This window comes from Homo sapiens, chromosome 10, assembly GCF_000001405.40.
Source record: "Homo sapiens chromosome 10, GRCh38.p14 Primary Assembly".
Classification (NCBI taxonomy): Eukaryota; Metazoa; Chordata; class Mammalia; order Primates; family Hominidae; genus Homo; species Homo sapiens.
The window spans coordinates 62,810,192-62,834,893 of record NC_000010.11 but is presented as its reverse complement, the minus strand read 5'-3'; the positions used below and the strand labels follow the sequence as shown (position 1 = coordinate 62,834,893).

General features: G+C 45.7%; 1 protein-coding gene across 6 annotated transcripts, besides 8 other annotated features; it reads left to right on the top strand.

Annotated features, from left to right (window-relative positions):
• On the top strand, nt 15,727–22,898 carry EGR2 (early growth response 2). Of its 6 annotated transcripts, NM_001136178.2 has the most exons (4): nt 15,727–15,788; nt 16,247–16,353; nt 18,825–19,033; nt 20,426–22,898. In NM_001136178.2, the coding sequence occupies exons 3-4, from the start codon at nt 18,865–18,867 to the stop codon at nt 21,685–21,687; spliced, it is 1,431 nt and encodes a 476-aa protein (NP_001129650.1). In that variant the 5' UTR covers nt 15,727–15,788; nt 16,247–16,353; nt 18,825–18,864; the 3' UTR covers nt 21,688–22,898. The 6 variants fall into 6 exon arrangements, with proteins under 6 accessions (NP_001129650.1, NP_001397860.1, NP_001307966.1 ...); NM_001410931.1 differs by lacking the exon at nt 15,727–15,788 and having other exon boundaries at nt 16,119–16,353; nt 18,925–19,033; NM_001321037.2 differs by lacking the exons at nt 15,727–15,788; nt 16,247–16,353 and adding an exon at nt 18,528–18,641 and having other exon boundaries at nt 18,925–19,033.
• Nucleotides 15,898–16,147: a silencer, noted in NCBI's record as "silent region_2404". NCBI's record gives its function as "represses an Ori minimal core promoter by ATAC-STARR-seq in GM12878 lymphoblastoid cells {active_cell/tissue: GM12878}" and the evidence as "EXISTENCE:reporter gene assay evidence [ECO:0000049][PMID:35858748]".
• Nucleotides 16,648–16,797: a silencer, noted in NCBI's record as "silent region_2403". NCBI's record gives its function as "represses an Ori minimal core promoter by ATAC-STARR-seq in GM12878 lymphoblastoid cells {active_cell/tissue: GM12878}" and the evidence as "EXISTENCE:reporter gene assay evidence [ECO:0000049][PMID:35858748]".
• Nucleotides 16,648–17,682: a biological region, named in NCBI's record as "H3K4me1 hESC enhancer GRCh37_chr10:64576972-64577969".
• Nucleotides 16,685–17,682: an enhancer, noted in NCBI's record as "H3K4me1 hESC enhancer chr10:64576972-64577969 (GRCh37/hg19 assembly coordinates)". NCBI's record gives its function as "activates a minimal SCP1, AML or CMV promoter by ChIP-STARR-seq in primed H9 embryonic stem cells {active_cell/tissue: H9 hESC(primed)}" and the evidence as "EXISTENCE:reporter gene assay evidence [ECO:0000049][PMID:30033119]".
• Nucleotides 16,878–17,047: an enhancer, noted in NCBI's record as "active region_3431". NCBI's record gives its function as "activates an Ori minimal core promoter by ATAC-STARR-seq in GM12878 lymphoblastoid cells {active_cell/tissue: GM12878}" and the evidence as "EXISTENCE:reporter gene assay evidence [ECO:0000049][PMID:35858748]".
• Nucleotides 17,708–17,787: a silencer, noted in NCBI's record as "silent region_2402". NCBI's record gives its function as "represses an Ori minimal core promoter by ATAC-STARR-seq in GM12878 lymphoblastoid cells {active_cell/tissue: GM12878}" and the evidence as "EXISTENCE:reporter gene assay evidence [ECO:0000049][PMID:35858748]".
• Nucleotides 18,078–18,507: a silencer, noted in NCBI's record as "silent region_2401". NCBI's record gives its function as "represses an Ori minimal core promoter by ATAC-STARR-seq in GM12878 lymphoblastoid cells {active_cell/tissue: GM12878}" and the evidence as "EXISTENCE:reporter gene assay evidence [ECO:0000049][PMID:35858748]".
• Nucleotides 19,528–19,617: a silencer, noted in NCBI's record as "silent region_2400". NCBI's record gives its function as "represses an Ori minimal core promoter by ATAC-STARR-seq in GM12878 lymphoblastoid cells {active_cell/tissue: GM12878}" and the evidence as "EXISTENCE:reporter gene assay evidence [ECO:0000049][PMID:35858748]".

The following is a 24,702-nucleotide window of genomic DNA, read 5'->3' as shown; positions in this document are numbered from 1 at the left end:
AAAATTTTAAGTCGACATTTATTTTATTTTTCATCAGCACATTTGAGATTTACCTTCATAGTTGCCCAGCTTTTATTACTGCTGATCAAAATAAATTTAACTGTAAGTCATAGGTGTAGGTGTTCTTTTTACTTTCATAGCTTTTAGGATATTTTTGATGTTCTACAGTTTTATTACAGTGAGCCTTTTTTAATCCTACTTGGTCACTTCTTATGCACTTTTAAAATAATTAGACTTTTAATTCTGGACCAGTTTTAGATTTACACAAACATTGAGAAAATAGTACAGAATTCCTGTATATCCCACATCCAGTTTTCTCTATTATTAACATGTTACATTAGCATGGTACATTTGTCCCCATTAGTGAACCAATGTTGATACATTATTATTAACTAAAATCTATATTTTATTCATGTTTTCTCAATTTCTCCCTAATGTCTTTTTTCTCAGTTCTGGGATCCTATCTGGGATACCATATTACATTTAGTCGTCCTATCTTTTTAGATTCTTATTGGTTGTGACAGTTTCTGAGGCTTTCTCATTTTTGATGACCTTGACAGTTGTGAAGATTACTAGTCAGGTGTTTTGTAGAATGAACATTAATAGGGATTTGTCTGTTGTTTTCTTGATTGTTAGATCAAGGTAATGTGTTTTATGGAGGAAGATCACACGGGTAAAGTGCCATTCTCATCACATCGTATCAAGGGTACATACTATGAAAATGACATCACTATCGATATTAGCCATGATCACCTGACTTGAGGTAATGCTTATCAGGTTTTTCCAGTGTAAAGTTACTCATTTTTCCCTCCCTTTCCATACTGTGCTGTTTGGAAGAAAATCACTATGTGCAGCTCACACTTAAATAGGAATTATGCTCCACCTTCTTAAGGGCAATGTATCTACATAAATTATTTGAAATTCTTCTGCATATTAAGTATATCTATTCTCCCCATTTGTTTATTTATTCAATCATTTATTTATATCAATATGTACTAAGGGACATTTTCCTACTTTGGCTTATAACCCAATATAATTATATTTATTTTCTTGTTCAAATTCTTGTAGCTTTCAGTTGGTTCCTGTATCATTTGGCTCACCCCCATCATTGTATTATTTTCCTTTTGGCTCATCTTGTATATTTCCTGCCCCAGTCTAAGAATCAGCCTTTTCTTAAAGGAGCCCTGGTTCCTTTTATTGGAGAATGGTATTAGAAACCAAGACCTGCATGCTAGGTATGCTCCGCAATACACTTTTTATTATTAATATTGTTTTTGGTTGACAACTTATGATTGTACACATTATGGGGTACAATCTGATGTTTCAATATAGCCAAACAATGTGGAATGATTAATTCATGCTAATTAACATATCTATCACCTCTCTTACCCATCATTTTTTTATGGTGAGATATTTGAAATGCATTATCTTTGTTACTTCAAAATACACAATAGATTATTACTATTATTATTATTATTGAGATGGAGTCTCACTCTGTCTCCCAGGCTGGAGTGCAGTGGCGCGATCTTGACTCACTGCAACCTCCGCCTCCCGGGTTCAAGCAATTCTCCTGCCTCAGCCTCCTGAGTAGCTGGGATAACAGGTGCACGCCACCACGCCTGGCTAATTTTTCACAATACATTATTTTGACCATGGTCACCCTGCTGTGCAATAGATCTCAAAACCTATTCCTTATGTCTATCTGAAACTGTGTACCCTTTGATCAACTTTGATCTCAGGTTGTCTTGATAAAATTTGCAAGTATTACTCTTCATATAATGTTTCTCTATTATTCTCTCCATTTTTTTTTTTTGCTTCTGGAACTCTTATTTAAAGAGTTGGAGAAAACTCTCAATCTATCCACATGTCTCTTAAGTGAACTTCCTTTTTGCTTTTGTTTTGTCTCCTCCTTCATTTCCATCTCCTCTTCATCTTTTCTGTCTGTGCTACATTCTGGTAAATTCCTTAATGCCATATTCCCATTTAATAATACTCTCTCTGACTCTCTCTCTCTAATCCAGATTTTTATTATTTTCAATTGTTTTATTTCCACTAGCATATTTTTTATTTCCAAGATTCTAATCAGCTATTTTCTCTTTTTCTATTTTTATGTCATTCACAAATCAGAGCAACAAGTTAACTGGTGGTTGGCTAAGGTCCTAGCCTTGAAGCTGATTCTATCTTTACACATTCCTTTAAGCCATAAACTTAGACAGTGGGTCAGCAGCTGTTTTTACACACACACACACACACACACACATACATACACACATATACACATGTATATATAAAAACATACATATGGATGTTTATAATACACATATATGTACATACATACATCATACATACATACATATGAATATACATGTGTACACATATACACATATACATATATGTATGTGTATATACATATACATATAAATACACACATATACATATGTATGTATATATACACACATATATACACATATATACACCTACATATATATGCATATATATACACATACATATAAACACACATATATACACAAATATATATACACACACATATATATAATACACACACACACATTTATATGAAGTGGTAGTGAACAGCTTGCCTCAGTCTATGGTCTTAATCAGTGAGCCAGTTTCTTTTCTCCGCATTTAATCCTTTTTACCTCCAGGAGCTGAACTTTCACAGCCATTTTCCTGTATTGGCTGGAAACCCTAATGTATTATTCATTCTCATGATTCCTTTTTATTTATGCCAAATGATACAGGTTTCTCTTTTGTGGTAATAATATAAAGTTTTCTTTTAAAATATATTTACTTATGAAAATAAATAATTTAAAGAAAAATACAAAGTAAATTTTAGTGCAAAATAAAATAAAAATGACTGAAGTTTGAGAGACCTAACACTGAGCCACACTGACATTCCATGATTTGAAATTATTGGTAGAACATTGACAGGACTACAAGCTGGATCTCCTTATAGTCCAGGTCCTTACACTGGGCCCTTCCTGCAGAGGAACCTGGACAGGTAGTCCTGTGCAATTAATGAGTCTCTGTCACTGTTTGACAATGTGACATAGGTTTGGGACCTTGTGTCTGCAGTGATGCTGAGGCAGGGTGAACATGAAAGCTACTGGTTTGAGAGACATGAAAATTAGAGACTGTCTTGGAGGCTTGCTTGTGGGACTACTGTGGCTTACACTGACTAGCTACAGACAGCTATGCCATGAGGTAGGGAATCATGGTATTGATGCTTGGTTTCAAGGATGGGGAGTCCTGAATCCCTTTCCTGGCACAACGTTGGACTCTGAGGTTTGGAGATAAATGACTTGACTACTCCAGAGGTGACTCACTGCAGCTTGGAAATTCTCAGCTGCAAGCCTGCTCTTTAAGAAAAAATTATTATTATCGTCTCTGACTAATAACCAGCAAACCCAAAGTGAAAAATAACTCAGTGGGAGATGAAGAGAAAATTCTTTTTCTAAAAAAAATTCATATTGAGCTGCAAAGCACAATAAGGCAAAAGCAGAGGAATGCAGATAACAAATCTTTAAATATTAACTGGGTAATTATGCCAATTAACATTTAATTTTATCTAGCTCATCACATTTTATCCATAAAAGCATTCTAGGTAACAGTTATTGCTGTAGACCTCTGAAAATTAATTAAAATCACTGAGACAGAACCAAAAAAAGTCCATTCTTTTTTTAAAAAATTCATTGAAGTTAAATAATCAATTTCCATTCTGAAAATTTACTCCAAATGGGAATTTGAAAGCCAGGACCAGAGACAGGTTTTCTTTCTTTCCTAACATCTACCTATCCTCAGATTTTTGTTGCTATACCTCCCTGGGCTTCTAATTGAGTCAGAGTCTGCATAAAAGGCAGTGGGTGGGGTAGAATGCTAAGTCCCCGTGCCTCCCAAGTTCCTGATTTCTCTGGTCTCTTGGCCTAATGCAAGAGGCTGTCTTGCCCTGAAATGGGCTTCCTCCAGATGCCCCAAATTCAGCGGCTGCAGCTCAAGTGTGTTCGCAGTTCCTATTTCATCCAGGAGTCCTGTGGAGATGCAGGCTGAGGCAACAAACTGAAATGAGCAGGTTGGCTGTTCCTCCATGGCTTGTTCCTGGTGGGGCCTGGGATCTCACAGTGTATGCAGAGCAAAGCTGGCCGTTCAGTGGTGAGATTAGCTGTAGAGGGTTCAGTGATCAGGGTTTAGGGTGGCTGGGGAAATGCTGTCTTTAGGGGCCTGCACATCATAGCAGACAGCCCTATGAACTTTTCAAAGCTGAACTTCTATTTTCTATCCACCTATTAGGTAAAACCACACCAGCACAATTCAGGGCCTGCTTCTTCCCCTGACAGAGCCACACAACCACTTGTTGGTGAGATGTCTGGGACATGATTCTCAGAATATTTGGATGGAAAAAGAAAGTTTAGTTGCTGCTAAATTCAGCCTCCTTCATTTCTGATTAGGCTGTACAAATGCATGGGTTTTCCTCCCTTGATTGGCTTCAATAATCTTAGCTCAGAAAACTAAAAATGATAGATACCTACAGAACTTATGTTTATGGGTCTACAACTATAGTAGCCAAACTTTTGATCAATCTTCAGGTAAAACCCCAGAATCCATTAACTCTACCTATCGGTTGCTAAGGACTGTGTTTGTAATATGTTCCCTTTATCTTTTACTAAGTATCAATCAAGTCAATTGATTGATTGATTAGTGCATACTGATAATCTCCCACAGCCATCCCATTGTATTAGGTATAGTGTACAGAGGTTTACTGAGCTATGAAGGACATGAAAACACTCACGTCTGAAAAATGAGTGGCCTTCATGTACTTTACCTTATTTGATCCCAACTACTACACTTGCAGCTGTTGTCCCCCTCTTTGGGACCTGTAACAACATTTTGAACATGTCTGATCACACTTACCACGTCCTCTGTGCAATCTACTTATGGGTGCACCCAGCTTACCTCTTTCTGGACTATGGGTTCCAAGAGACATGGACTCACATTCATCTTTCATTTCCTACAACCTCTGACCCAGGGCCTGGCACTCAGTAGGTCTCAAAAATGCTTACTCATTTATTTTGCCAGCATTGGCCCAACAATTCTAACAAATGGCCTTTTTGTGTCTGTCAGTTACAATTTACACCTGATAGGTCGGATACTTTTGGACTATGACAATAAAGAAAGTGACTTCTTTCTTTGCATTACTATTTTCTCTTCACACTATTTATTGATTTGTGTGTGTGTGTTTTAAATAACCAAGCCCCAATTAAGCCAACTTGTTCTTGATTTTCTAAAAATTATATAAACTGTAGTTTCTATTCTATAGCCAAAATTAAAATACATCATTGAAATTAAAGTAAGCCTACAGGAGTGCCATTAGGGTATTCAAAGCCAAATGTTGATAATAATGGTATTTACTTACTGAAATTTAGCAGCATTCATTCAAAAGCAATATGCAGTCCTAACTGCCTTAGATCAAAGAATACAAGTTACTTTAAGGTTCTATTCTCTAATTAGGTAGAAAAACCATTTCTTTCCCTCTTATTAACTGTCTCCTTCCCATTATGTTCTATGTCACTTTAAGCAGAATATCCATTTGAAAGAATTAATGAAGTCTGAGGGACTTGCCTGAAGATTGAAAAAGGATAAATTATCTTTATTTATAAAGATAAAAAGCTAAAAAGAGGCTCCAGTAGTTGCAGATTTAGTTAAGTCTTCCTTCTAAGCACAGCTCATGTATGTATCAGAATATTCATTTGTTCCATCCATTTGCAAATACCTTGGCATGAGCAAGTCAACAGGATTCAATCAAACAGACTTCATGGGGAACAATTCCTATAAGGATCATCCAGCCTCTTCCTAGGAAAAAGCACAACCCCACTCTTTCTTGGCAGGAGGGAGACCTCTTCAATGGGCCTGATATATTTTGCCTTTATCAGGACTTGTGATATTGCCTTATTTACAAAATTATAGTCCAGTTTGGGGTGATGGTTGAGGCTGAAGCCCTTGGGCTCCCTATGGGTCCTCAGGGCCAGAAAATTATAGATTGCCAAAGCTGTATGGGGCCTTAGCTGCCACGGAGGCTAATACTCTTGTTTTACAGATTAGGCAGCTAAGACTCAGGAAGGGCAAAAGGTTGTAATAAGGCAGTGGATCCCAAACCTGGCTGATCTTGGCTCATTCATCCCATCCATTCAATAAATGCTTACTGCACATTCCTCTGTGCCAGCACTGTTGTTGGTGGGGGGATACAGTGACCGTCCAGATAGGCATTGCCCTTACCTTCATGGAGCTTATACTCACTAAAAATATACCTAATATAAGAAAATAAATCACAGTAATGGTCAGGGTGACCAAGGAACAGAGGGGAGGGTTGGGAAGGGAAGGCTTGTGTTGAGATTTGAATAAGGACTAGGCATAGGATGACCAAAGGGTGGGGGCAGGGGTCATTCTAGACAAGGGGAATAGCTGGTGCACAGGATGAGAAGGAGCATGGAATGTTTGAGCATGGTGAGCAGTGGGGAGAGAGGAGAGACACGTTAATTGGAGAAGTAGGACAAGGCCAGGTCATCTACAGCAGTGGTCCCCAACGTTTTTTGGCACCAGGGACTGGTTTTGTGGAAGACAGATTTTCCACAGACATGGTCGGGGGATGGTTTCAGGATGAAACTCTTGCACCTCAGATCATCAGGCATTATTAGATTCTCATAAGGAGCACACAACTTAGATCCTTTGCATGGACAGTTCACAATAGGATTCATGCTCCTATGAGAATCTAATGCCGCCACTGATCTGACAGGAGGTGGAGCTCAGGTAGTAATGCTCACTCTCCACCTCCTGCTGTGCAGCCCACTTCCTAACAGTTCCTGGTGCCAGTCTGTAGCCCTGGGGGTTGGGGACCCCTGATGTAGAGACTTGCAGGTTGTGGTAAGGAGTGGATTTTTAAAAAAATTATAATGGGAACCCAGATTATTTCAAAATTAGCTTCTTAAAGGGCATTTTCTTTGCTGTTATTATTGTTCTACAATAGATTATTGGGACTAGGATTCTTATAATGAGTCAGGTCAGAAGATGGCCCAGCACAGTTACCGGCCAGTTCCTGTAACTATACACCAATTCCTTTCATTATATTAAGGACCCTCTTGCAACCCTCTGGGCAAGACTGAAAGGGCAGTGTAGTGTTACCCATTACGTGAATTATGATGAGGCCAAATTTTAGCCACAAACACAAATGGCTTCATCTGAAAATAATGTGGTGATCATTTTTGAGCATACTGTGGCACAGGTTACCTAAGTTTGGAAAAAAACAAAGCCATCAAAGCCTTCTGTTGATGATGTGGATGAATCTATCTCCTCCACCTGGTCAGGCTGGTCACCCCAGTCAAGACCCAACCACACTCGAGCCACCTCACACAGATGAGAATCTCTTCTGGTTGCACCACAGGCTGATAACCCAGAGGGTGGCAATCACTGAGTCAGTGCCAACCTCACAGAAATGGGACAAATGAGTACTAATGGGGATGGACCTAGGGCTGGTGGGGCCCCAACCTGCCTCTGATGACCTAGAAGGCCAGGAACTGGCTGGTTGATGGTGGTTATCATTTTACTTTATGCTACCAGTCCTTACCTTTAGGGGTCATATGACACAGGGTACAGAACAGGGTCAGCACACACCTGGGGAAGAAAACACATGACCTAAATGTTAACTGGCCACCAGCCATCAAAATGTCTCAGGGATTGCACAAGCTTTCACATACCTGGGCCTTCCCAACTGGTAGCTGAGGCTCCCATGAGACAGAACTCTGAAGTTCAGCACCTGGAGACCCGGCTGGCAATGCTGCCTCTGTCTCATTACTAGCTACGTGACCTTAGGTAAGTCACTTGGCCCCTCTGGGGCTCACTTGGCTTCTCTGGGCAGTGGGAGAGGTGAACATGGCCTTGCCAACATCACAGGGTTATATATGAAGTAATGTGAGTGAAAGGGACTTGGAAAGGGTAGAGTGGCACCTAAAGTGGCTTACTGGGCTTTACAACCACTGGGAAGTGTGGAGGAAATTCATCAGAGAGTTGATGTGGATGATGAAAGGCTCAAAACATTAAAATCCTGGGGACAGGCTATAGAAACTGAGATTCTATCCACGTTAAACAGAGAAGTTTGAGGGCTCTATTCCAGCCTGTGACTGGTTCTTACCCAGAACATTGTGACTAACTTCTATCAGGTTTCCTGAGGAAAAAACAAAACAAAATGCCTACTAAAATAAGGTGTATTCTATCTCTGAAGAATGTCTTGTGAGCGTATTAAACACTGGAATGAGTTACTAAAACAAGTTTGGTATTCTTTCTCTGATGGCCTTAGGAGAGATTCATACCTGAGTGTGGGTGGTTTAAATGTGATTCTGGCTGAAGATAGAGGAAGACACTACAAACTTAGTTCCCTTTTTTGGTTCCTGGAACTAAATTCATAAGAATTTTCAGGATGTGAGCTCCATGAAGACAGGGAGTTTTGTTCACTGATGCATTCCAAGCATCTAGCATAATACCTAGCATATAGTAGGTGCTTAATAAATATTTGCTGAATGGATAAAGGAACACTATGAGCTAGTCTGGGCATTTGGAAGTGAGAGAAGTTACCCTCTGGTTCACCTACCTGCTTATCCACAGCCCCTGGCTCAGCATAATGTGGGCTGAGCCTCTAAGTTAGAGCAGTGGCCTTCAAATCCCAGGGAATTTGGACAAGCTGTCTGTTATTAGTCAGGGTTCTCTAGAGGACAGAACTAATGGAATAGATAAATATATAAAGGGGAGTTTATTAAGTATTATCTCACACAATCACAAGGTCCCACAATAGGCTGTCTGCAGGCTGAGGAGCAAGGATAGCCAGTCTGAGTTCCAAAGCTGAGTCTGATGTTCTAGGGCAGGAAGCATCCAGCATGGGAGAAAGATGTATGTTGGGAGACTAGGCCAGTCTCTCTTTTCACATTTTTCTGCCTGCTTATATTTTAGCTGTGCTGGCAGCTGATTAGACTGTGCCCACCCAGATTAAGGGTGGGTCTGCCTTTCCCAGCCCACTGACTCAAATGTTAATCTCCTTTGGCAACACCCTCAGAGACACGCCCAGGATCAATACTTTGTATTCTTCCATCCAATCAAGTTGACACTCAGTATTAACCATCACAGTGTCTCAGTCCTCTTCATCAGGAATTTGCACAGTGGGGAAGGAGTCAAGTCCACTCAGGTTCCACTACAGCCACCCACCCATCTTTTACCTAATATTTATACATATTGGGCTTCCAGATACTAGTTTCTATTTGTCTGGTAACAGTCCACTCTACTTGCTATTCTGTGAGAGCAATCTGTGATTTTAAAAAGCCTGAAACACAGGAAAAGTGAGGAATAAGCTCCCTTGTTAAAGCACCTTCCATCTCTAGGATTTCTGAGTAACAGGTGAGAGGACGAAAATGGTCACTTTGGACATGTTTTTGGTGCCGCTTGTTTCATGAAATTCAAATAAAGGGAAGAAAGGCTGTAATAAATTGTTCCAGTTTTCCTCTTTTTGAAGTGTTCATGGGTTGTTGTCTGAATAATCGTATTTTAAAAAAGCAATCTGTCTAATTCCAAAAGGCTGGGGGTTGCCAGGTCTCTGGGGAGACTCTCTTTTGAGCATACAAGGCCATTGATTGAAATTGTTCTGTTAGTAGTGAGCACACTGGCACCACAACAGCCCTTAGAGGGAAGCACACAATCTAGTTAATTATGAGGATGCGAGAAGGAGTATGACCATGTGTCTGGGCCTGCTATTAGTATCAGGAGAAGCAGACCCACCAAGGCCTAGTTACAAAGGCCCCAAGACTCCAAGGGACATTTCCCCACTCCCCTATCTCCACATGAGAAGGAAAACACAGATATGGACCACTCTGCACTGTGAGGAGAGGAAAAGAGGCCACTTTAAAGGGCCTTAGGATTGGTCAGCAAGCAAACAAGTCACAAGTGAGTTCAATGGTTGATGCCTTGTCCTGGAATCATAAACTTGGCCTCCCAACCTACCCCAATCTATATTCAGCCCTGCCTCTGAAGGCCCAGCAACCCAAACAATTGCCCTGGGAGACAACAATTATATTTGCAGTATTGTCCTGCTTTTCAGAATGTGGTCTTCCTTGGATGTCTCGCAATGCTCTGGCCAATGGCACTTAGTGCAGGAATACCCAGTCTCATTTTCAAGATGAAGAAACAGAGGCTCAGAGATGCTAAGTCACTTGTCTAGTTACACCGGTTAGAGTAGGTACTGGGAACACCAGTAATGGAGTCAGACTACTTGGGTTCACGTCTTGGCACTTCCACTTAATCAGCTCTGCAACTTGGGCTTTGGTGACTCAGTTTCCTGAGTATAATGATATCTGCTTCATAGTGTGATTGGTAGATTAAAACAGATAAAGCATCCCAGTCATGAAAGTGTTTAGCATCCTGAAATGCTCAATAAATATCAACCATTATTATGATGGAGAGGCAACTATTAAGGCCAATTCCTAATCTCATGGTATTTCCAGTACACAGTGTTGTACCCAGCACCAGCTTCTTGCATTTTCTTTCTGCCCAATCCTCTCCCCTGCTCCCTCCACCTTTCTCACTCAAAATAGTGAAGATGTAAAACTCTTTTTCTAAACATTATGGCCCCCTTGGCTGCTACTTAAAATTCTGGCAGGCACAAGGGGATGTGATGTCTCTACCTCTTTGTGGCATGAGGTTAAGAAGCATCACTGGATACAGGGAAAGAAAAGCCTATCTCCCAAGGCTGTCACTAAAGGTTTGAGTGATGTGACTGCAGCAAGCACAGGTGGTGCCTTCTAGCATCAACCACCTACCCCAAATAGCACCATCAGCCATTGTCAGAGGCAGAACTGAAACTCTGTGCCTTGAGTCCTTTCCATTCCCCAGGCTACCTGGATTGCCCTGCATCTGGGACTAGTAGTAGGTGGGAGAGGAGTCAGGAAGGAGAGGGGATGGCTCACTGCTGGCTGCTACCATGTCAGTAGCACTCACTATCCTGAAGACAGAGAGTGGCCCCTCAGACCTTAATGATTTAAACCTCTGCAAAAGGGGATATCTGAGGACAAACCCTTCAGAGGATGCTTTCTAGGGTCCTTGCCCTTGTTCTGAATACAACATCTCCCTAAGAAACTGTTAGACATAGCATGCAGTGGGATGGGTAGAATTAATTGGGAATTATCTGACAAGATAGTATAAAAATCTCAGATGCCTCTCGTCACTGGAAAGGCATATATTGGATTCCTATCCAGAACTTTGCTTGATTGGAATATAAACAGAGAACACATTTCTGATGTCCCTGCCTTAAGGAGATTTATAATAAAGTTGAAAAAGTAATGGCATGGAGAATATGTGAGAAGATCCCACGGGGACATGCTCCTACATGGGTTGTACAAGGCTAAGAATGCCCCTTATGGAGCACTGTCTCTAGATTTCGCAGGAAATTTGCTAACCCATTCTTCCTAAATTTTATATTTTGGTTCTATATTCCCAAACCTCCTTGGAAGAACAACAGTGCTATTATTATGCATTATGGTCTCACTGGAAAAAAAGATGATATATTAATTAGATTATTATTAATGTGGAACTTGGCTTTCCAAGTTTAGATGACATTTTCCACAAAGGTATAGCTTGTTTTAAATTACATGCCAATAACCTCTGCCTTCTGGGTTCCTTTTTCGCCTGCTCAGTAATGATATTATCAATGTTCTTGGAAGCTGAAGCTCAGAATTTTGGAAAAAAGCGACAAATACTTCATATATCAATGTTTGAAGTATGGCCACTGTCTTGCTTTTATCTGCTGTGGGTTGTTCTACATTATATAATGTACTTGAAACATGTGGGCTTTGGTGATTGAGAGAACAGAGTTCATATTCTGGTTCTGTGTGAACTTGGGTGAGCTGTGTATCTTCCCTGAGCTTTAGTTCCCTCATCAGTAAAATGAGAATAAACAGACCTGTTTCTCAAGGTGGTTGTGAGGAATGAAGCAATGAACCTAGAACATAGTAAAGTGTCTGGTGCAGAGTGAACAGTCAATAATAGTAATGATTTAATAGCTAACAATTACTGAATAGTTATTATATACTGACAATATGCTATGGGTTTTACATATATTATTATATTTAATCCTTAAAATAACTCTATAATCATTCTGTCCACTTTATATAGGAGGAAATAGAGGCACACAGAAGTTATGGAAGTTTTTTTTTGTTATTTTTTTTCCTTTTTTTTTTTGAGATGGGGTCTCACTCTGTTGCCAGGCTGGAGTGCAGTGGCGTGATCTTGGCTCACTGCAACCTCCACCTCCCAGGTTCAAGCAATTCTCCTGCCTCAGCCTCCCGAGTAGCTGAGACTACAGGTGCGTGCCACCACACCCAGCTAATTTTTGTGTTTTTAGTAGAGACAGGGTTTCACCATGTTGGCCAGGATGGTCTCGATCTCTTGACCTCATGATCTGCCTGCCTCAGCCTCTCAAAGGGCTAGGATTACAGTCATGAGCCATCGCGTCTGGCCAGAACTTTTGACTACCTAGATGTTTAAGTACATATAGCCAGGTAGTGTCAGGATTTGGGTTTGAACCCAGGACCTCAGGATTTAAATCCAGGCCATATAGGCCTCCAGAGCCTATAATCTTAACCGTAATCATGAGAAATAGTGACCATTCTTATTAAGATTATCTGATTGAAATATACAATTTGCTTTCTTTTTTGGTTTAATGCTGCAAAGCAACTGCTCTGACAACTGGATGCACTGACTGGCCTGGTCCTTTTGTCAGTATAAAAGCAAAGCTTCTACAACAAGTATGACATCATTTGGAAGAAGAAAAATTGCTCCCCGTAACCTGGTAATATAAGCAGGCTAGTAATATGTGTCTAAAAATCTGTAAGCTCCTCAGTTATAGCAAACTTTATTTTTTATACAATTAGAGATAATAAATTAAAGGTATAAGCTGAAAGATTAGAAAATATAAAAAGGCATGATTTTGGATGAAGATTATGCTTTGAGCCTTTATGATCAGACTGACAGCCTATCACTTATTAAAGTGGACATCAGGTTTGTATGTACCTTGTCTTAAACAGTCATGATATACCATGCATTGATTTACCTTTTGTCTTTTGCCAGCAATGGTAAAGTGATCTGTAGATTTGTCAGGATGTGTTTCTACTAGATAAAACTGCACTTACAAACTCTATTCATTTAAAATGGGACAAAATTCACACAGTCTGTCATTTCCTTATTAAGAAATAGACAACTAAGAAATGTTTTTCATTACGACTGTCACCAAGACACAATGCTAATATCAATAAGCATTTTTGTGTATGTTCTCCTTGCTGAAACCTTGTCAGCATGTTCTCATTTGTCTGCAGAAGCTGAGTGGTAAAAAATTTCAAATGTAAAAATTCTAATGTCACTGTCATTAGCCAGAAAAAGAAATGGCAGAGCAAAGAAAGACTCTTGGAGAATGAAATCTCTCCGGAGACACTCCAAGGAGGATGCCTGTATTGGCTACCTTCAGCCCCAGTGCACTAGACATGGAGATGGCCTCAGAAGTTTCCACCAACCATGGACTTTCTCCATTCTTCAAATGAACTTTGCTTCCCTCCACCTTGGCACCTTTCAACACCTGTTCTTTCTCCCTGGAATGCTGTCTCCACTGACCTTCCCCCAATCCTTGCACATCCTTCAGATCTCTGCTTAGAGAAGTCTTCCTCAACCTCCTAGATTCAACTGGGTCCTTTGTCATTTTCTTTCATTGGGATCAAACACTGTCATTGTTCATAGTCATGTATTTGTGTGATGCACAATGCTAATTCCATGGGGTGGGAACCAGGCCTAATTTTAGGCACCATTATATCCCTGGGGTTTGGTGTAGTGATGGACACCTGGTAGAGAGGCACACGAAATATCTAAAGGGAACCTGAGCACCCACTGCTTGGGCCAGTGCTGCTGCTTGTGCTGCTGCTTCTACAAAATTAGATCATAGAGCTCTTATCTCCTCCTGTCCAGATTATTTGTGCCAATGACACGTGACTTAAGTTGTACATTGGACTGGTGCAAAGCAATGCTTTCCTCAAGCTTCACAACAGTTCTGATTGGCGTAGCCTGGGCTTGGTTTATAGCCTCTGGGATTACCAGATTAGTAGTGAGATGCTGAAACGTAGAGAACCATTTATCACTTTTTTTCAGCATGCAGGGGCACTTTAGGTGGATGGCAGAGTTGGCAATTGATCTGATTTTCACCGAAGTGCACATGTTCTATGCCATTCAAGTTTGAGGTCCCCACCCTCATGAGTGTCCACAGTTAAGGCAAATTCTGACCTTCTTTTGTCTTCCACTCCAGTAACAGTATTAGTATGGAAGGGAACAAAAATGACATTACAATAGGTAGAGCCTATAATGATGTGCAAGAATGTTAATAAATCAAAACACAAATATGAACAAATTATTTGTGACATCCCTCTTGGCTGATGGTGATCCTGTCACCACACTGTAAATGAGAATTTCAAATCTGGGTTAAAAAAAAAAACCTGAAAATCACTCAGGAGACTCTGGGGTCCAGCTAGGACCCTCAGGTTGCCACCCCTGCTTGTCACCCTAAACACTCTCCCGCAACCCCAGGAGCAAGCCTACTAAAGGGTTTCTCTGCATCGTTGTTATTTTACTTTCTGGCTCTGGAATCTGGACAAAGCAAATTGGAATCTGGCATGAGTTTGCTACTCTTTTAATAGCCCTGATACATCTTGGAGTGCCCCATTTAGTCGGGCATTTTTACAGGTCTATTTTAAAGAAAGTTGTTTCTTTGTTGGATTTTTAATCAAAACAAAAAAGTTCAAATGCTTAATAGTAGGGACCATGGTACATGTTTGTATTCAACTCTCACATTCTCCATCCCCACACCCCTCCACCTCCAGCACAGTATCTTGCTCAGTAAACCCTTTGGAGTTTTTACTTGTCCGCACTTCTTTCTTTTCTCACCTCTTCTTGTCTCCAGGAAGGATACTGTGGGGCTAGCTTCTCTTATGACAGCGCCTATTAGTATGCTGGCTTTGTGCCAGCCTGGCTATTCCATCCACAGTCTAGGTCTGGAGAGCCCAAGAACTCAAATTCTCCCTTTACAGTGGGCAGGGGGCGTGTCCATGACAGTCCCTTCCTCCTTGCCTGTAGAAAGCCCTGACCTCAGCTTTGCTCTCCTCAGAAATGGCAAAGAAAGGAGATGAAATTGGCGGAGGCGGCCTGATTCTTCCCTAGTGGGCTGAGTCAGGCTCCCAATCCTCAAAGAAGTGTTCACTTTTCAGACCTGGGTTTTCCTGAGGGCACGATGTAGCGACCACTGTGCGCTGTACTTGGATTCAGAAGACCCAGCTGCAAGTTTGGACACGACCACTTACCAGCTACGTGACTTTAGGCAAGCCACTTTAGCTTTCTGAGCTTATCCACAGGGTGGCTGGCTTGAAAGGGTGCGCCTTGATTCTGTTCCATTATCTGCACTACCCATATTTAAGGGTTGGTACTTCAAGAGACACTCAAAAAAACAAAGGTTACGAGAGTTATCTACTGACTTGTTTCAGCGGAGGTTCAATAAAGGCCTCCCAGGACTGGCCCCAGGCATTCCCTGGCCTCCCCGCAGCTGCCGCCCGTCCCCGCCCCCACTCCATTCCCTGCGCACCCCAGGCTGATGCAGCGTAGCTCTTAGGGGGAGGTGTGAGTCCTTGGAAAGCTCACAAGAATTTCAGAGGGTCAGTCACTCTCATTTACTCTAATGTGCTTTCAAGACTCCTTGATGGGGCCCCCTCCTCCACCCGCCTTCTACTGGCATCCTCCTCCGGGAAAGGTGGCAGCCGAAGACCTCGCGGTTTTCCCTCGCTCAGGCACCCCGCCCCGCCCCCAGCCCCGGTCCTGCCCTCCGCGCCCTGCTGGCCGGGCACTCGGGCGTCCAGGAGCTCCCCCTCGGGGTGGCGCGCGGCGACCGCCGGCGGGTTTGGCAGCAGCGCCAGTCGCGGGGCGGCCCGGGCAACTCGCCCGCCTGCCGGTCCGCCCACGTGCGCAGAGAGGAGCGAAGCGCGAGCAGTCGCCTCGCCCGCGCTTGCTGCCGGTGGGTGCCTCACCTAAGGGGCCGGCGGGGGCCGTAACCCGAGCCCCATCGCAGGGATCCGCATTTGCATAATTCGGCTTTCCCCCGTTCTTTCGGACTCAGGGCCCGAGATGCGAGTCGGACTCCCTTCCGAGGCGTCGTCTTGCCCATGGTCAGCGCGGGGGCCGCGGGACCCGCCAGAGCGCAGGCGGAGTGGGCTGGCGCACGTGGTAAGAACGCAGCTATCTTTTCTTGCTTTTCTTTTCTTTCTTTCTTTCTTGAGAAATAGGACTTTGCACATTTTTGCTGGGGTGGGGTATCTACTAGGGTGCTAACCTTGCTGCGATTTCTTTCCATGTCCTTTTCATCCCCAATTGGAAAAAAGCGCACAGCGCGAGCGAGAAACTTTCCCAAATGTGCTCTGGGTGACTTAAGTCAGAGAGATGGCCGGCCGCTGGATACCGGCTGTTTTGGAGGGAGGGGGAGAAGCAGCGCTTCAGTGGAAGAGCAGAGGGAGAGACCGCTCCCGGCAGCCTCAGGGCCCTGACCGCGGTGCGCTGGGCCCGGCGAGAGCTGGCGCACGGCTGCAGCGGTCGAGGCAGGTGAGCGGCTGAAGACCCGCCTGCAGCGCCGCGCTTCCTCCACGGCGTGGCGCCGTGGCTCCCGCCCGCCCCGGCCCACACTAAGCTAGGGCCGCTCCGGGCCCGGGGTGAAAAAGGGACAGGACAGGCCTGCGAGGCTGACCCTGCGCGTTATCCCTGGCCTCCGCGGCTTTGGAGCGGGAAAGGGCTCTGGGGCAGTTCGCAACCTGCACAAACGACCATGAATGAGTCATGCAGGCGGCGGTGCGCTGGACTTGGGCACCCGGGACCAGCCTCCTGTGGGGCCCCGGACAGGCCCGGCTATCCATTGCGGGCTGGGGCGCACTGGGAGGTAGAAGCTTTGCGCCCAGCAAGCCAGAACCTGCTGCTATTTGGACTTTGGAAAAGTTTTTAAAAATTGCTTTGGGAACGAAACAGAAGGGTTTCTACCGGGGTCTCGCAAAGTAAAACGAGTGGGTTGGGGGATGGGGATGGCGTCTTGAAAGTGATTAGAGATGCTTTCGGCCGTCACTGAGGACCGCGCTGGGCTCACCGAGGTGTTTTTTGGGGAGGGAGAGAAAATATTTATTCTAGTACGTGTATTCTGGCTCGGGTGCGGGCAGGGCGCGGTCCTGGATCCTGGGCTATGGGGGTCAGGGGGATTCTGTGGCTGCAGGGACCGGTAGTGAAGGTTAGGCCAGTGTCTTCATAGAACCTCCTGTCCAGCGAGCCCGGAGCCCGCTCTGCCGCCGGGACACTGCTGGCAACGACGGCGCGCGGACGCAGTCAACAGGGAGGTGTGTAGTGTAAGGTGTGTGAGCGGGTGTGTGAAGAGGGCAGCGGGGGCGGGAGTGTGTAGCGGAAGTGGAGCGAGTGTGAGTGTGTGTGTATGTGTGTCTGGAGGGGCAGGGTGAGTGTCCAAGCTTCCATCTGGACGCCCCCACGCAGCCGACCGCCCAGACGCGCCGGGAAGGGCGCCCGCTCCGCGCAGCAGCTGAAGGGGGGCGGGGAGCGCGCGGGCAGAGGAAGGAGGGTGTCTCCGGCTGAGGATTTCTCTCGAAGCTCCCCACAGTAATTCTGCTCCTCCTAGGGTTTACCCTCCCAGTCCCAAGGTGCCCAAAATACTTAAACAAACAAACAACCCAAACCTGTTCCGTTTTCGCTCCTGTATAAATAGAACAGACTTTCCAAAAAAGCAATACGCATTCACTCTTATCACCAGCCACTTCTTTCCACCAAGTAATTCAGAAAAAAGCAGTCAGCTTCCGTGAATGCATGTAGCTTTTTTTTTCTTCGCTGCCTCCTTTTGCTTGCGGTTTTGAGCTGCCAAGAAAGTGAGTAGGGGTTTGACTGTAGTGTCTCGGCTCCGCTCGGTTTCTTTCCGAAGTTTAATTTTCCGGAATGGCTCCCAAACAAGGGCTAGGGAGGCGGAGCCGCCGGCACCGGATCTTCGCCTTTTTTGGAAAGTCCCAGAGAACCGGAATTCCTCCCCGCCCCGGGAGGCTGAGCCGCAGCCTGGAGCAGCTCGCTCTCCTGCTGTGGCTGTGACTGGGTCCATGGCGCGCCCTCTCCCCCGCGATCCCTGCGCCCCGGACCCAGGCTGCAGCTAGGGCCGCGCGCCCGGGACCCCAGCGATCCCCGCCGCCTGCGAGCTGGAAGTCGCGAGCCCGGCGGAGTCCGCGCGGCCGAGCCCGTGTATGCAAATCAGCCATGTGACGGCAAAAGCCGCCTGGCCCAGCCCTGTTCCTCAGTCCATATATGGGCAGCGACGTCACGGGTATTGAAGACCTGCCCATAAATACTTAGAGCAACACTTTCCGTCTAACTGAGCGAGGAGCAATTGATTAATAGCTCGGCGAGGGGACTCACTGACTGTTATAATAACACTACACCAGCAACTCCTGGCTTCCCAGCAGCCGGAACACAGACAGGAGAGAGTCAGTGGCAAATAGACATTTTTCTTATTTCTTAAAAAACAGCAACTTGTTTGCTACTTTTATTTCTGTTGATTTTTTTTTCTTGGTGTGTGTGGTGGTTGTTTTTAAGTGTGGAGGGCAAAAGGAGATACCATCCCAGGCTCAGTCCAACCCCTCTCCAAAACGGCTTTTCTGACACTCCAGGTAGCGAGGGAGTTGGGTCTCCAGGTTGTGCGAGGAGCAAATGATGACCGCCAAGGCCGTAGACAAAATCCCAGTAACTCTCAGTGGTTTTGTGCACCAGCTGTCTGACAACATCTACCCGGTGGAGGACCTCGCCGCCACGTCGGTGACCATCTTTCCCAATGCCGAACTGGGAGGCCCCTTTGACCAGATGAACGGAGTGGCCGGAGGTAAGCCGCGTGTCTTCGCAGGCCCGGACCTGCGCGGCCCGGAGGTGGTGGATGGGGTGCAGTGGGTGTGCGGGAATCGCAGGAGAGGATTGGGGCTCCAGGTGGACGGTGCTGACTGCACTGGCTTTGAAGACTGGAAGTGGGTGCAGGAGGAACCTGCGACAGCTGAGACCAGGGCGCGCGGGCAGATGCGCCAGGTCGCCAGCAAACCGGCGTGCGTGCGCCCCGGCGCGCCCAGCCCCGGGCGAGCGCAGGGATGGGGGTGGAAGAGGCGTCCCCCCGGGTTTCGAGGCTTGCGTAGGCCCTCTGGCCGGCAGCACTTCGACCTCCCCTCTCCCGGGGCAGGGGCAAAGTGACGGTAAAGTTCGGGGCTCTCGGGGAGAGCTGCGCGCCTGGAGAGCCGAGCGGCGGAGAAGCGCCAGGGGAAAGCGTCGGTAGCTCCCTCCTGGGCAGAGCCGACCCCGGGAAAATCTCGGAGCGCTCCCTTCTTGCGGCCTGGAGGCGCGCCCCCACCTGCCCGCCGCCCGCGAAGTTGAGGGGGTTAGTAAGGCGGGGGCTCCGGCCGGCGGAGGCAGCGAGTGGGTGGTGGAGGAGGGCGCGCAACGGCGGGAAGCAGCCCCCGGACTGCCGAGGGAGGCCCGCGGGGGCACCGGCGACGCCGGTTTCCTTGGCGATGCTGTGGAAAGTCGTCTCTCGCGGCCCCCGCGCCTTCCTCGAGGCCGGGCCACTGGCCTTGGGCTGAGGCGGGGACGCGCGGCTGTCGGGAAAGGCGGAGAAGATTGGGAGGGCACGGAAACCTACGGACTCCTTCCTCTACATCCCCCATTCGCTCCAGCAGCCCTCGGCTGAAGCGCAGCGGGAGAGGGAGGGAGAAAAAGGCACAAGGCGCCGGGGATGGGGAGCAGCCGGGAAATCACCCACCCCCTTCTCGGGCTCTCCTCTCGGTTTGGCACCATCACGGCACTGACTGGGATAGGTCGATTCTTGGGTGGTGTTTGTCTTGGTGCCTCAGCCGTGGAACCCCCAGGCAAAAAAGAGGGAGAAAAGCTCCGGGCGGATGAGGCTTTTTAAAATATTGTTGTTGCTATTATTGGGTGTTTTTTATTGGGGACTAGAGCCACAGATGGCTGGGGGTGGAGGGGAGTTGGGAAAAGCTCATTCTGCTTTTTTGGAGGTAGTTCTTGAGTTCCATACTGTCAATGGGTTGCCACAGTTGGGCTGGCCTCTTCTTACAGTCTGTGGGCCTCAATTTCCCCACCTTTTGGACTTTGCCACAGCTCTACAGTGCTGAGACTCTCGGCCTTGGAAATGGACCTATGTGAGCGGGGGTGAGAAGGGAGTCCTGGCTGTATTTTCATTGTTCCACCTCCATTCTGCCTTTCCCCTCCCCAGATGGCATGATCAACATTGACATGACTGGAGAGAAGAGGTCGTTGGATCTCCCATATCCCAGCAGCTTTGCTCCCGTCTCTGCACCTAGAAACCAGACCTTCACTTACATGGGCAAGTTCTCCATTGACCCTCAGTACCCTGGTGCCAGCTGCTACCCAGAAGGCATAATCAATATTGTGAGTGCAGGCATCTTGCAAGGGGTCACTTCCCCAGCTTCAACCACAGCCTCATCCAGCGTCACCTCTGCCTCCCCCAACCCACTGGCCACAGGACCCCTGGGTGTGTGCACCATGTCCCAGACCCAGCCTGACCTGGACCACCTGTACTCTCCGCCACCGCCTCCTCCTCCTTATTCTGGCTGTGCAGGAGACCTCTACCAGGACCCTTCTGCGTTCCTGTCAGCAGCCACCACCTCCACCTCTTCCTCTCTGGCCTACCCACCACCTCCTTCCTATCCATCCCCCAAGCCAGCCACGGACCCAGGTCTCTTCCCAATGATCCCAGACTATCCTGGATTCTTTCCATCTCAGTGCCAGAGAGACCTACATGGTACAGCTGGCCCAGACCGTAAGCCCTTTCCCTGCCCACTGGACACCCTGCGGGTGCCCCCTCCACTCACTCCACTCTCTACAATCCGTAACTTTACCCTGGGGGGCCCCAGTGCTGGGGTGACCGGACCAGGGGCCAGTGGAGGCAGCGAGGGACCCCGGCTGCCTGGTAGCAGCTCAGCAGCAGCAGCAGCCGCCGCCGCCGCCGCCTATAACCCACACCACCTGCCACTGCGGCCCATTCTGAGGCCTCGCAAGTACCCCAACAGACCCAGCAAGACGCCGGTGCACGAGAGGCCCTACCCGTGCCCAGCAGAAGGCTGCGACCGGCGGTTCTCCCGCTCTGACGAGCTGACACGGCACATCCGAATCCACACTGGGCATAAGCCCTTCCAGTGTCGGATCTGCATGCGCAACTTCAGCCGCAGTGACCACCTCACCACCCATATCCGCACCCACACCGGTGAGAAGCCCTTCGCCTGTGACTACTGTGGCCGAAAGTTTGCCCGGAGTGATGAGAGGAAGCGCCACACCAAGATCCACCTGAGACAGAAAGAGCGGAAAAGCAGTGCCCCCTCTGCATCGGTGCCAGCCCCCTCTACAGCCTCCTGCTCTGGGGGCGTGCAGCCTGGGGGTACCCTGTGCAGCAGTAACAGCAGCAGTCTTGGCGGAGGGCCGCTCGCCCCTTGCTCCTCTCGGACCCGGACACCTTGAGATGAGACTCAGGCTGATACACCAGCTCCCAAAGGTCCCGGAGGCCCTTTGTCCACTGGAGCTGCACAACAAACACTACCACCCTTTCCTGTCCCTCTCTCCCTTTGTTGGGCAAAGGGCTTTGGTGGAGCTAGCACTGCCCCCTTTCCACCTAGAAGCAGGTTCTTCCTAAAACTTAGCCCATTCTAGTCTCTCTTAGGTGAGTTGACTATCAACCCAAGGCAAAGGGGAGGCTCAGAAGGAGGTGGTGTGGGGACCCCTGGCCAAGAGGGCTGAGGTCTGACCCTGCTTTAAAGGGTTGTTTGACTAGGTTTTGCTACCCCACTTCCCCTTATTTTGACCCATCACAGGTTTTTGACCCTGGATGTCAGAGTTGATCTAAGACGTTTTCTACAATAGGTTGGGAGATGCTGATCCCTTCAAGTGGGGACAGCAAAAAGACAAGCAAAACTGATGTGCACTTTATGGCTTGGGACTGATTTGGGGGACATTGTACAGTGAGTGAAGTATAGCCTTTATGCCACACTCTGTGGCCCTAAAATGGTGAATCAGAGCATATCTAGTTGTCTCAACCCTTGAAGCAATATGTATTATAAACTCAGAGAACAGAAGTGCAATGTGATGGGAGGAACATAGCAATATCTGCTCCTTTTCGAGTTGTTTGAGAAATGTAGGCTATTTTTTCAGTGTATATCCACTCAGATTTTGTGTATTTTTGATGTACACTGTTCTCTAAATTCTGAATCTTTGGGAAAAAATGTAAAGCATTTATGATCTCAGAGGTTAACTTATTTAAGGGGGATGTACATATATTCTCTGAAACTAGGATGCATGCAATTGTGTTGGAAGTGTCCTTGGTGCCTTGTGTGATGTAGACAATGTTACAAGGTCTGCATGTAAATGGGTTGCCTTATTATGGAGAAAAAAAATCACTCCCTGAGTTTAGTATGGCTGTATATTTCTGCCTATTAATATTTGGAATTTTTTTTAGAAAGTATATTTTTGTATGCTTTGTTTTGTGACTTAAAAGTGTTACCTTTGTAGTCAAATTTCAGATAAGAATGTACATAATGTTACCGGAGCTGATTTGTTTGGTCATTAGCTCTTAATAGTTGTGAAAAAATAAATCTATTCTAACGCAAAACCACTAACTGAAGTTCAGATAATGGATGGTTTGTGACTATAGTGTAAATAAATACTTTTCAACAATATTTTTGTTGCAGAAATCATTTCTGAAATACTTACTGGGTGGGAATTAAACAGTCATTCAGTCTCTGTGGGAATATTTTTTAAAAACAGCACTAAGCACCAGTGAAAATGCTTTGACCAAACCATGGTCTCCAGATCTTCTTTGCTAGCCTGTGGACACCAACCCCAAAGCAGGCTCCATTCATAATCAAACACTAGTGTTCTGGGGATTTCCCCCATGCATTAGTGTAAAAGTGGGGAGGCGTTGTTTTGACTCATTGTTCCGTTGTCTCTAACAGCCTATAGCTTCTCTCTGCTCCTGAGTGGGCTCCGGAAAATAAATACTTACAAACAAGTGCCCACTCGGAGACAACACATTTACAGTCGCTTTCAGAACCCTGACCAGGGTCTAGAACTCAGACGAGATGTGGCTTTGTGGAAAGTGTGGTGGCGTGGTCAAGCTGGAAATGACTTTCAGCTTCCAGGATTAGTCTCATGACCACAGAAAACTTTTTGAAAAGCACTATCATCTCTTCAGATCGAAAATGCCCCCAGACGCTGCTGATGACAGCATGAATGGGTTGTCAAAGGAATTACCCCAGGACTCATTTCTCTCCAACCTTCACTTCCCAATTGATTACCCCTATTTGATAGAATCATTGATCTGCCAAAGGTTTGGTGGGTCTAGAAGTGACGATCAAAGTACTCAGCTCATTAGATAAGATAGGTGCCTCAAGAAAATCTCAAAGATAACCTAAACTAAATAGGCCAATATAGTCCTCCATGGTACTGGATAAAGGTTTGCAAAGAATATACTGTAGGGTTCATTTCACTGCAAGTCTTTTGTAGTGGTTTTAAAATATAAATTCACCAAAAATTAGTTAATTTAGCCACAAAGTAAACAGACGATGCCTTTGTGAAGTTATCATCTTTACTGTAAAATCTGGGCCTAAAAATCATTTAAGTTCACCCACTTCTGGATCCTTACACAAATGTAACATGTTGCTGCAGCGTCCACTGTTTAGCTGACATCTGAAAATCCCTTTGACTATTTGCCCTTCAGCACTGTTAAGACTCCCTCAGACTCAACCTGTATTTCAGAATAACAGATGATTACAGCTACTCTGGAAACCACCTTTTGCCCTTACCAGCACTAGAATTTGAGATCCAATTTGTGGAGGGAATGAATGCCTTTCTTCTGTATCTCTTCTCCATCCCTATTTCAAGGATGTCGAATCTCTCTATTCTATTACTACGAAACAAGAGTTTTCAGAACTTGTTTCATATTTTTTTAGTGACTGGTGTTTTCCCATTAGTTCCTATTTCCCAGCTTGTTGGCGTAATATCATCCTTGCTTGTCCAACTTTGGTAAGTATAAGACAATGCCACATTTTGATAATTACGTGATTTTAAAGAATACTTCCCTCCTACCAAGATTTCATTATATTAAAATATACCCAAATTTTGTAAGATATATTTGTCTTGCCAAATTCTAATTTTAGAGGATTTTCAATCAAGATAATCTTAACAATTACTTACGAAGCAGTAGACTAAAAGTCATCTCAAAAATAAAATAGAAGATATTTTGATGACAGCAAAATTGGTTACATAATCACTTTCACCCTGACGTGGGCTTGGTGAGGTAGCATTAACACACATACCATAAGGAACACCACATCTCAGCATTTTCTCAGAGCCAACTTTGTGGCTTTTACTAGTAGATTTCAACATGTGAGGTCAGTATCTTTAATCCGATTTTGCTCTCTGCTTAAAATGTTCAGGGTGCTTCTTGCACGTCTCATTTTTTACATTGCTCAAGAAATAAAG

Coding starts and splice junctions, on each gene's coding strand:
- EGR2 (NM_001410931.1), top strand. CDS start 16,255: ATGCGAGTCGGACTCCCTTCCGAGGCGTCGTCTTGCCCATGGTCAGCG. Junction 16,354..18,924: donor GGAGTGGGCTGGCGCACGTG/GTAAGAACGCAG, acceptor TTTGTGCACCAG/CTGTCTGACAACATCTACCC. Junction 19,034..20,425: donor GATGAACGGAGTGGCCGGAG/GTAAGCCGCGTG, acceptor TCCCCTCCCCAG/ATGGCATGATCAACATTGAC.